At 41.8% G+C, this 12686-nt stretch overlaps 1 protein-coding gene across 69 annotated transcripts in view, besides 1 other annotated feature; it reads right to left on the bottom strand.

The window, feature by feature from the left end:
* The window catches only part of CELF2 (CUGBP Elav-like family member 2), an 874126-nt gene that overhangs the window by 111005 nt on the left and 750435 nt on the right, over positions 1-12686 (bottom strand). For 65 of the 69 annotated variants that reach the window (XM_047424494.1, NM_001326323.2, NM_001326320.2 and 62 more), the window contains 1 exon segment: positions 8164-8246. The exons of the other annotated variants lie outside the window; for them this stretch is intronic. In XM_047424494.1, coding sequence (XP_047280450.1) covers positions 8164-8246 — 83 coding nt within the window. 69 annotated transcript variants of the gene reach the window in all.
* Positions 12498-12597: an enhancer, noted in NCBI's record as "active region_3000". NCBI's record gives its function as "activates an Ori minimal core promoter by ATAC-STARR-seq in GM12878 lymphoblastoid cells {active_cell/tissue: GM12878}" and the evidence as "EXISTENCE:reporter gene assay evidence [ECO:0000049][PMID:35858748]".

Raw genomic sequence — 12686 nt, 5'->3', positions numbered from 1 at the left:
CCCCTTGCCCTTTCTTTTCTCCATTTCCCGGTGGAAAAATTATGAGTACTAAGCTCCCTGTTGGTTCTCAACCAGAGAGGAAAGCAGATGCCCAGACAATCTCAAAGGGTATAGTCAAAGCTTGAATAATCCACGTTTGTCTACGTGAAGTACTCTAAAATGACTAACCCATCACAGAACCAAGTTAAGTCACAGTGTAGAGATTTTCGTTAAATAGGACATGACCACAGACAATGCATGGACAGCAAAGAAGAGTTTTGCAAGATTGGAAAGGGCCACTCAGTCCAACCATTTTTGTTTTGCAGATCAAGTACAGAGGGCATTGCAAGCGTTTTTAAGGCTGGAGGAGGAGGGGATGGCAGCACAAATGTGTGTTTTGAGTGTTAATGGGAAGTAATGACAGGCAGGGACAATGAGGACCATGAAAGAGAGCCTTTGTCACAGTGTCCCTTTCTGCGATCTCCACACGCACCGTTTACTGTTTATTCTTTCATCTCTGCGGCTGGTGGGCAGTGAGAGTGGTGAGGGTACGGGCCTGAAATATTCCTTCATTATCAAACCAACTTCAACAGCTTATGTCATACTACTAATGAGACTTCCCAGGCACCTGTATGCTATGACCATTTATGGTTGAAACGAGCAGAGGGACAGACGAAACTTCTTTCCCTCCCCACACCGCCCTCCTGTAAGTGTCCAGCGCGCTTCCCTGCACAAACCAGACCATATCCGGCAGAGCCCTGACTCCCTCTGATCCTGGCCTTGGCTCTCCCCAGCTCAGCCATTCCCTATTTCCTAGTGTGTGGGGGAAGAACCTTGGTGTTCCTGGGAGAACTCTCTCCACATCTACCCATGCTGTATGCTTTTTGTGTGGCCTAAAGCTCCAGGCTCCGAACTCACGAGCGCACTTCACCTGGACATCATCTCCTGAGTTACGCTCAGCTGATGTCAAAGATTAAAGATCTGTCCAGCCAGATATGATATTCTCAGAGATGAGTTCTCATGGAAACCCTATACGCTAATGACAGAATTTGGACAATTTTCTAGGTGTATATCAAACTTCTCCTTTCATCATTTGATTATCATGGCTCACCTCCTTCCTCTGTAATTCCATGCAGACCTTTAATCAAATTCATGGATCCCCCGCCTCCCCCACAATCTTCTTTTGAAATCCTATCAACCTTTTGGGAACTAAGGTCGACGTAAGTGAACTGCATATTCCCAGTTTAATCTTGGGCTGTCGTAGAGAAATGATTATCTCTGAAATCTAACTATGGCTTCATTTTGCCATTGTACCATCCTACCATCCCCTCACAAGATACTAATGAGATACCAGTATCCCTCAAGCAATGACACAAGGCACTTTTGCAAATCTGATCAGGCACCAGTACCAGCGCGTTAACATACTTTCTCACACAAGCCCTGGCAACAGTCCTATTAATTAGGGATATAGCTGAGACTACGTTGTTTGCAAAACTAAACATTGCCTTCCACTGGGTTCTGAGGCCAAAAGTGGTGTGGCTATTCCCTACTGTAATCCTGTGCTGGCATTTTCAACTTTGCACCACTGAAGAATCCTCATACATTTTCTCTCGTACAATTCCTTATACCGAGTAGGCCATGCTTTAAAAATAACTAGTTTTTTATTTTAATCAAAGCCGTACGTAAATAACTGCCCATCAACATTACTGAATCAACAGACTGCCAGCCAAAACCAAAACAACCTGCTATTCAGGTAGTGTGTAAAACTTTATGGCGGGTGAAATAGACAATTTGTAATGGCCTTTTATTAAGCATTAAAATATACTTTCCCATTGCCCTGGGGCCTGGGCCTGCAGAATGGAACTCACTGGGCCCAGGATTTCCTTCCATCCTCCGATATCCTCTCCTGGATCTATACCGCTCAGCTGGGAGCCATCCTGTTGCACCTGGCTGAGCCCGACTTGGGGCTGGGTCTACACTCTGCCCCTACCCCTTTCATACTGCTGTGACTCCTGCAGGGGGAAGGGAGCTTCTGCACCCTCAAGGACTCCTCCGGAGCTCCCCCTGCTACTCTCTGTCACAGTCCTTAAAAAGTCATCTCCAAGAGAAACAAAGTCCTTATTTTGTTTGTTTGGCTTTTATTTGTATGAGATTTGAGTATTATCTGAAAACACAGATGGCAGGGAAATGGCTCCTCCTAGGCAGTCCCATGAGGGCGAATTTCTCAGCCCAGGCCAAATTCTGCAAATGTACATCTGAAGCATCTGCACCAAATGGATGTCCTGACTGACACATTCCGCAGCAGAATACATGTGTGGAATACGTGTATGTTCCACACGTTTGTATGCTGGGGTGCTCCACAAGGAGAGTTCACACCTACACAAATGAGGAGGCAGACACAGTGCCTTTTGAGGCATGTTTCCTCATGGCTCAGGAAGCTCCTCAGGCAGTGCCCCGCTCAGGCCTGACTGTGAGGATGCTGGGAAGCAGAGCTCACCATCATCGCACGGCCATTTCTCAAGCACCCTCTCTAACACGCACCATGAATCTGCCATGATCCGGACTCAAAGCACCCATAAACAAAGAATTATAATTACACCAAGGAACTGAGATCGTTGGTGAAGCCTCAAATAAGAAAGTTCGCTACAAAGTAATTGAGACTAAGCCAGCAGGCTGCACAGAGAACGGGGAGGACTTTAACTTTCATCTTCCTCCATTTATTTGGACTGACATCCACAGGTGTACGTGTGGAAGGTATGTTTATGGGCATATAGACATACACATATATAGATCTGTGTCTATGAAACAATTTGTATCACTAAACACACATACATGTGATAACGTATCTACATTCATTTTATATTTTGGAACATTTGAAATATTTTTAGGCATAATTATCTTTTTTTAGAAAATAAAACTGTAGGCCTTTGGAAATATTTCATTATAAAAACTAACTTATTCGGGCATTCACTATGTAAGAGCTACTTACTAAACACATACCACGTGTAAGCATAGTGGCAGGCTTTGTGGTTTGGTGATTTGGTTATAAAGGGCATGGCTGCTACTACAGTATTCCCTGGTATCTAGAACAGTGCCTGGCAAACAATAAACGTTCAATACATGGTTGCCGAATAAAGAAATGCATCAGCGCTTTGTGTGCCCCGCATGGCACAAGACTTCGAGGACTCAAACCTGTTCATACAGATGTTTCGGTTGTTTTCCATGATAATTTTAAACCAAAGGCATGTGAGAAAAAAATACTCTAACTTGGCCCAGTTAGGCTTTGATTCCAATGGGATGGTTTCAGGAGAAATTTCTCTGACACAGTGAGATGAGGTTTGAGAGATTTTATGGCAAAAATAATAATGATGATGACAATGATAAAATGATGATAATCGTGGCTCTGAGAACAAAGGCATTAATACCTATCACTAAGTAGGAGAGGTGGTTCAAAGAAAATGAACACCTCCAAATGCATTAAAATGGGCAAATGAAATTTGGCCCCAGTGAGAGTCAAGCTTTTTTGCTGAAGAGAGAAACTGCAGCACTCCACTAGGAAAGAACACAGAGGCCAACTCCATGGCGAGCAGAGTGAAGCCTGCTTGGGAGGAAGGTGCCTACCCACACTGGTCCATTATCTCTTCCAGGGCAGGCCAGGAAGGGGCCCATTCACTCCACCTGGGTGAACACACTTGTCCCAGGAGGCCATTTCCCTTCCTGCCTCCTCCGATTGGATCAGGCTCATTTGTTTTTCTACCCCAGATCTCTGGCAGTCCTCGCTCACCTTGCATGGGTTATTGTAAAACATCTTTTGGCATGCTGCTGCTAAAATGGAGCACTCTAAACAAATGTTCTCTTAGGGCAATAACTCCTTAATATAAACTGCATTTAATAAAACTGGTGGTGATTCTAAAAAGAAATGGGTAAGGCATATTCAGAGAAGATGTCTGGAAGAAATTTGCAATTAATATTTTACAAGACATTTAGATTCCGCAGCTTCCTCCTTGCTGTTAAAATTTAAGAGGTTTCTCAAAACTGTATTCCTCTCTGTTATTACATCCTTAATTAAATTAATTTATACAGTGAATGCTCTAATGATACTGCTGTGGATTTCAATCCAAAAGCCTTATTACCAGAGACAATATGTGTTAAGACCTTGGAAAGAGAATGACACCCAGCACGGTGCTGACACCGGCACAAGGATATTTGGCCCTGACATCTGATTATTGAAAAGATCTTGGTAGTTTTTCTGGGCCTCAGGTAAGTCTCTATTTTACTTTATTTTTTAATTGAGCTAAATTAGCTCAATAAAAAACAAAATGAAAATCTTGCAAGTTGCCTTGACAAAGATGTCCCTCTGGGAAACACAATGGTAGATAATGACATTTCTACTGAACAAACTACCAGTTAGGTTGTGCCTAGATAAAACCCTCAAGAAGGGATGCTATCTTTAACCCCAAATTGACATATCATCAAAGCAGGTGCAACCAAAATTAGTCCAAAACCATAAATGGCCCAGCAGTAGGAAAAGTCAGCCTAACAAGGCACCAAATCCAACAGCTTCTCAGGTAGCCCAGCCTGTGCAGATACACTCACAGTGTTATCTTCAGGCTACAAAGGCTCTACTTACTAGGCATCTCAAGGATGTGTGTGTGTGGTGGAATGGGTATTCTGCAGCAGAAAAGCGTGAAAGCACGAACCATGTAAGTATTAACTACCTGTCTACTGTCCACCCTTCCAGCTAGATTAGCTAGAGGCCCCCTTGGGCTCGATCCCTGCTACTTCCTGCCAATACCTAGCTTAGAGCTAGGCACACTGTAGGCACTCCATGATCATTTGGGATTAATCTCATGAAATGTCAGTAACTAATGAGGCACTGTACCTAAAATTTCTTCTGTTGCTGGAGCATCCAGCAACCACTTCTAGAGGAGATGTGTGATCAAACCAAGGGAAGGACTCCCAGACTCTCATCCCTTGCTCTGTGTTGAGCTGTTGAATTTGCTTCCTTTATGACTGCCATTGTATTTCTAGGGTTTATGTTGAGAATTTCAGGGGATGTAAAACAGAGCGTCTTCTTTGGTTACCCAGTAAGAGGCAAGTTTGAGAAACGTGTCTTCAATGATTTTGCACTGCTCCGTAAGAGCCCTGATCTGTCACCTCAATCTGGGAGTCGTTTCTCCAGCCCCATGTAAAGGGTTTCTAAAATTCATTCCTGACATGTAAAGGAGGGTGCCTTTAAATCAAAATCTTATGGCAGACACATTTGATTGCACAACAGACCATCCTATCAACTTGTTTCTGCTTCCTAACTAACCAAGTTCTTTGTGTCCCTCAAGAAAGAAAGATGGCGCATACAGAGGAAAGCAAACTCCAAACATCAATCAAGCTTGGCCGCATAATAAAAGTTCCTTATGAAACAAAACATCAACTGCAAAAGAAAATTACATCGGAAAAAACCCTAGCATTATTTGATCTTGTTTTAAATCGAAAGTTTTGGACACTTTAGAAAAAAGGCAGCAAGTGACTTTTTAATGGATTTTATCCACAGGAAAATGATTACAACCAGAAAAGCTTTAAAGTGTCAGCTGGTGATGTATTTTTTCTTTATCACTTTTAGTTTTATTCAGAAAGAAATTGAAGGCATATGGCAAAGTGCATCATTAATTTCTTATTAATTTCATAATATGAAGGCAACCAGTTAAAATAGTAGTGTACAACTTTAAATTACCGAACTCACTTGGTATTTAATGAGAGATTTAGCACAGCAGGGTCTCTGTTAAATTAAGTTGTGCCTTCACATCACAGTGGGAAAACAGGTGTATATTGGTTTAGAATTATGGAAATGTTGACTAATTTCAAGGCTTGTAATCAAACCGCAAGGCACCCTGTAATATTTTTTCTTCCAAGAATATGCATTAATCTTTTATGTCTGGTCCCATTTCTTTCTGTCCACCAAAGACTCACACAGCTAAAAGGAAAACACTTTCATGTTTTTCCTATAGCTGTTAAGGGTAATGTGTACTGGACGAAGCTGTACATAAATGCAAGATGTGAAACTCTCTCCTCATTTACCATATTTGGAATAGCAAATGTAGCAAGTGTGTGCACTGGAAAGGCTATCAGCCTTACAAATCAGATCTGACTTTTCAAATTCCTTCAACCTGCCTCAAGTAATTGGGCATATGAAACTAGATAAGGAGAAAACCAAAAATAATCCACCGACCAACTTTTCCAGCTCCCAAATTATTGTCCTTGACAGTGGGTCTGTAACATCACCTCCCCTGAATTCTACATGCAGGATTTTTAGGAAGAAAAGAAGTAACACACGTACAATATTTAAAAAATATAAAACATGTTGTTTTCTAAGAGTCAGTGTAAGAATCCCAAACAGAAGCATACTCATAAGTCGCTTTCATGCATTTCAACATGCCCCATTCATCATATTCACTCTGGGTTTCTTGAGAGCACCCTCGACTATGAAGATCGCATGCTGGGAGCTGTGTTTCTAGTAGAGGGATAAATACATATTCACCAAGCTCTGCATTCACTTAAAATATGATGTGACTTGGCATCAAACTACACTATACCTTAAATGCTAAATTAACAACAGTTCACTGTCTCAAGTAATTTTAAAAAACACACCTAGAAGGGATTCGGCATGCTCATTACTAGAAAGCATTTGTTTTTAAAAGAAGAAATACAAAGTGGTCTTTGGGTTTGATTAGGAGCCTGGGAAATAAAAATGATTTTCATCTATTATTGGCTGAGTCAGTAAATATTTGCCTTGGCTTGTTCATTCCACAATGTGACCCAACACTGCAATCTCCTAGAATCTGTGTTAAAAAAAAGTCCATTTACATGAAGAATGCAGATAAAATAATACAATTTTTTTAAAGTCACTGAGTGAAGCACTTAGACTCAATAAAAACAGCTTTACTAAGAACCACCTTAGCAGTTTCAGAGAGAAGCAGTGAAACTGGGCAGGACCATTGTGGGACCACACACTTGCTTCTTCGAACCTTCTATTCTTTGATTTCCTCGCATACAAAGGGGAATACCAAAGTAGTATGATTCAAAATCAAGGTTCTTAATTTATGACTTTTGGGTGATGAAGAACCTCATGTTGTGAAAATCTTTTGCTGAGCTTTTTGCCACTACGATCTTGTATTGTGAACGAGTCTAGGATGAATCATACAAATGCTATCTTTTCTGGGGGCCTGTGGTGGTTCAATGGTTATGTGTGCATGTGTGAATGTGTATATACACAGAGGTGTTTGTGTATGCGTTCAGAGACAAATAAAAGACACAAAGGTAGAATTATACCCTGAAAACATTAGGGACATTACCTTATCTTTCTTTTATTCTTATCAAACTAGGTTTCAATAAAATCATTATCCTTGCACTGGTTACCACAGGTGCTTCATTATAACAAATGCATGTCATTATGAACTCATCACTGATATTTGGGTCAATGGGGAAAACATTCAAACAGCATCAGGAAATTAATAGCATGAAATACATAAAAGTGCCACAAAATCCTTTAGAAAAACTGTATTCTGGTGTTCCTACATGCAACATCAGTTCATTTCTGGTGAATTGTGCCAACTATCAAATATTACTGGGAAGGAAACGGAGAAAAAAATTGTAAGCTTTGTATTTTCTGTCCTATATCAACATGAAGCCACAAATTGGGTATTAAAACACTGACTTTGTTAACCACCATTGACTGTTTAGAAACCATTAGGAGGCTTAATATTATGGCTGTAAAGGGTACATTTTGTCCTTTCAAAAGAAAATCTAAAGACAAAATTTGAAAAGGAGCTCCTGGTGAATAAAAGCTTTTTCTTTTCCATTTGCTTCTCTTGTGTGTGTTGGGTTTTTTTTTCCTTTTAAAATCTTAGCCCACCCAATACTCTTTGGCAGCCGTGGCTGCCCAGTGGGGTCACTCTGATTTTCTAACCAGGGGATGCACTATTTGAGAATGCTTCCCGTCAGTGTTAATGCCAGCGCTCCTTTATGGGCTGGCCAGCTGGTGTGGCTGCTGCAGGGAACTGGGGGGTCAGCACACACTCCTCAAAAGACCAAAGTCATTTTTGGCACTAAGAGCCCATAACTAGAACCTTCAGTTGAAAGGACCATTTTCAAGCAATAAAGTGATTCTGGTACAAAAGTAAACCGACTCACCCCAGGTAAAGTTTTAATATTGTGCAGTGCATTCTGGGCCTCAAGTGCAGCTTTTCTTGTATAAAATGTTACGAAACAACAACCTACAGAGAGAAATGAAAAGGTTTTAGAAATTTCTGTGAATGCTTTGCTTAGATATAATGGAGACTGTGGCGAACAAACAATCTACTTAAAAGGACGCACAATTTAAAAATAATAAAGCATATGAGAACAGCAATAACAACATCTCAAGCATTTACACAGTACCTTTTCATCCTAAATCATATTTATTAGCTTTACCCACGTTGGAGATCAATTCCTGACTCTGTGCCTCACCTCTCTGGAATACAGCTATTCAAGAATGAGGGTGGGAGGTGGTGGAGGAATGGGTGAGATGTGAATGGGACCTGTGTTATAGCACCTACGTGAAGAGAAGCATTTAATCACAATAACAACAGCACAAGCTTACATTAATTATAATTTTCTTAAAGTGTATCTCCAGAACGTCAGGTTTTTGAAAGACTTTCTAAACTCAAAGCTTCAGACAACTGGATTATAAGCTTCTTAAAAGCTGGGATAGTGCATTCTTCTTTATCTCCACCACATTACATGATGTAAAGTTCTGTACATATGACCCTCAATACTCATTTGCCAATACGGAAGACTGTATTTTAACTGGCTTAGAAATTAAGCTACAATACAGATGGGTACATGCCCAAACAGATGTTAGTGGACTCTGGCCCATGCATTACATATATGGCTGTGGCATACTAACTGGCAACATTTTGATTCCTCCTTTCCAAAGAGCCTGTGGGAGTCCCCGGCCCTTCCGCGCAGGCCAGCATATATCCTTTTTCCAGCCAACCTCCTCCACCAAAGAAAACGGTATGGAAATCCTAGACTATTCCTTCTGCATCCTGGAGGAGGGCTTGCACCTTCTTCAACTTGTAGATAAAGATATTGGCTATTTGTTCAGCAATATAGTTTCTCAGCACAATCAGTTTGGGAAAAGAGGGTAGGACAAAAACTTGAAATTTAAGAAACAAAGATGCTAACCTTTGATCTGGGCTGTCTTTGGTAAGTGGTTGAGGAAAAAAAGTAAAGTGATGCACTCACCAAGACTGTATGTATTTTATTTTGGCTTTATTAAAGGAACATAACGCACGGAGCCAGACAGGGGCCAGAAGAGCTTTGAGAGGTGCTGCCATTTCAGGGGGAAAATAAAGTATAATCTCATTCATACAAGATTTCTAAAGACATCCAAGATTCTTCCTCGTTTGGAAGAGAAATTTGAAACCTTGTCATTTTACACTTGATTTAGTTAGAGTCTACTGACAGTCAATATATACAAAACCTTTGCCTTTTGGACAAGGTAGACTATGACCATAGCATCTTGGCATTTGAAAAACTCCACGCATCCAAAGATCAGGAACCCTTCAAATGTATCACTTGAATGAAGGGAACTGAACATTATAACATTTCTTTAAAGAATCAACCTGAAGAGACTGACCATTTTCACGAGCATCTTATTTCAGCTATTTTGAGTTCTTTGACCAGAATCCACTTGGCTCTGCTTCTTGATGGTAGATTTTTTACTGAACCGATCAACTTCACTGGTGAGTTCAGCTTCAGTGGCGTGATGTAAGCCCCAGAAAAGCCATAGGAATTGCTTCATGCCAAGGAATAATTTCCAAAAGGAAACTAACATCCCAGTTTCCAGTAACCATTTTTAGAAGAAAAACACCAACCATGCCTCATCAGGCTTGGTATACAAAGAAAAACAGGACAAGCCTTACTAAACGCTTCTAGCAAACACAGTCTCAGTGACTTCTCCTTTCCCTGTCCTGGGCTTATGGCGTTAGCTTCTGGATAAGGAAGCAGTGGGGAAGTTCTGAATTACCGCCTCATTTAATAACCACAGTTAAAAAAAAAAAAAAGCAGAATCTGATACTTTCAGGCAGGTAACTTTTGGGAATGAGATGTTTTAAAAAAGAAGACTTAGGGATGCAGCCATTTACTGGCTGAAATAAAGGAAATTACGAAAGAGTAAGTTCAGGAGATGAAAAACCGATGCCAGTTTGGCCACGCCACAGCCAAGAACGAAGAGTTGAGGTTGGTCTGGAAGACCAATGGTATGACAGGGAAAATGAAAATAGAGAATTAAACAACGCTAAGATAAAAGCGACAAGGAACAATGATGACGTAAATGGAGTGAATTGTGTGCACTTCTGTGTGAGCCAGCTGTGGAGAGCTTTGACCAACATACAGTGGTCTCAGGGATAAAGGGAGCACTCCTGCCTCAGACACCCAAGCAAAATCCCTGCCATGGCTCGCTGCCTGAGAGTCCACTAGGAAGGTGTAGTCCTTCTGCTATTTACATACTAAAACATGACCCTTGAGGAAGGAGACATTTAATTGTTGCTAGTTATTACAGCTTAGTGTGATTTTAGCTACTTTAAAGGGTCTTCCTCTTGAACAAAGTTCTTAGTGAAAAGAAGGTGGGTGGTTTTTGTTTTTCAGAAACGGACAGATTGAAGCTGGTATCTAAGCAGGGTGGGATGGCAGGTGAATAGGAGAAAGGAAGGAAGAAAGGACTCAAACATACAGAAGGGGAGATGGGAAGATCCCCAAGATCTCAAATACTTTCTAGTTTCATCCAAGGTCCACTCTGCCTTTACAACTAGTACGGTGAAGTCAGTCACTTATCACTACAGATCCTCTTCCAACTATGCATAGTTCTTAAGTGTTTCAGTTAAAAGTGTACACTCATCTAAACAGGTATTCTTTAACATCATGCCAAGAGAAGCTCTAGTTCCAGTGTGACACGCAGGAGGATACCGTAGGTAACACTGCTAATGTGCCTTACCGTTCATCTGTCCGACCCAAGAGCTGAGCCCCAGCACAGCTCCACAGGCGCCGCGTTTGGCAGGGAAGCCTGGAGCCTTTGTGCCGATTCCAAGAGGGGATCCCATCTCCAGGTGGGCGTAGCTCCTTGCCACAGTCCATGGCTTGATAAGCCCATCCCAGCCTGGATTTCTACTCTATTCACGGCCTCAGTAGGATACCCTTGTGCAATTAGCAACTTACACAAATGTGGGGTCCTGGGCAGACAAGGAGACTGGGAATACTAACCCCAGAGGCTTCTTTTGGTTTTTCACATTTAGTTTCTGAATGACTTACCGTGGGGAAATATCTTACCTCCTCAGTACCTTAGTTAGTTTCATCATTAAAAAATTTATTTATTTTTGAGACAGGATGTCACTCTGTTGTCCTGGCTGGAATGCAGTGGTGTGATCACAGCTCACTGCAGCCTTGAACTCCTTGGCTCAAGTGGTTCTCCTGCCCCTTCCCTGAGTACCTGGGAGTACAGGTGTGTGCTACCATGCCTGACTACTTTTTACATTTTTGTAGAGATAGGGGTCCCACTATGTTGCCCAGGCTGGTCTTGGACTCCTGGCCTCAAGTGGTCCTCCCACCTCGGCCTCCCAAAGCCCTTAGACTATAGGCATGAGCTACTGTGCCCGGCCTAGTCTCATCAGTAAGTAAAAAGCAGGTCTGCTTAATATCCCCCCACGAAACTAGGTGGATATGCAGCCAAAGTGTTTCATTCAGGACCAAAAAAGAAAAAGGGTCAAAAGCATTCTTTACTTCTATTAGACTAAAGGAAGTCTTATGCTTTGTTCAGCATTCATAATGGTTCACTTAACAAGTACAGTGATTGGTTAAGTTTTATTAAAATTTGCAGGATGAATACAGACCTCCAAATTGAAACAGTCAGCTTAGATACAGCAATTAGTGTTTTTCCCCAGCAGGACTGTAGTGTGTACCTTTCCAGATACTGGAATGTGTTTGAAAGACTTTCTATGAGTTTCTCCTAGTTAACAACCATAGTCTTTTTATCCACCTATCACTTAATATGCTCCTGTAAAATATTAGATTACCCACCTGCAGACAATATTTCAACAAAGAGAGAAATATCATTATTTTCCCTGAAATGACAATTATTATGGCAAAAGGTCAAGGAGCTACTACAGATCCCTGAAAAACCACGAAGGCTCAACAAGGATGAAATTTTCTTTCTTGTCAGCCCTAACCAAATATACAGCTGTTAAGGGAACCACCTGTCTCCTAGATTTCCCCACGCCAGCTGTAACTCAGGTCTGAAATGTACTGGATTCCTCTCCAGGTCAGCTGCAGCACCAGATGGCTCAGCAGTCTGATTCAGGGGCAAGCCTCCTCCCCTGCAGGCTCTGTTTCCAACATCGGTGTAAGGGGTAGTCACACATCTACAACACCCAGGGGCTGGCTCTTTGATGGTCAGTGGTCGCACCATGCATCAGAGGGGACAGTCCCTTGGGCTTCAGAATTCATTCTGGGAAACCCACCTTCCCTACTGTCCATGGAGTGGAGTGAGAGGCCTCGCTCCATGTTAGAGGTGACCGGCCAGGGGGCTCTGGGGATCAGCACAGGCTGATGCAGTCTGATGAACCAGGTGCTTCTGCAGGTCTCAACCCTCCCATTGCTGCTTAATGCTGGTAATTTCT

This window comes from Homo sapiens, chromosome 10 (genome assembly GCF_000001405.40).
Source record: "Homo sapiens chromosome 10, GRCh38.p14 Primary Assembly".
Classification (NCBI taxonomy): domain Eukaryota; kingdom Metazoa; phylum Chordata; class Mammalia; order Primates; family Hominidae; genus Homo; species Homo sapiens.
Note: the sequence above shows the minus strand (reverse complement) of the source record. Positions and strands in the feature narration are given on the sequence as shown.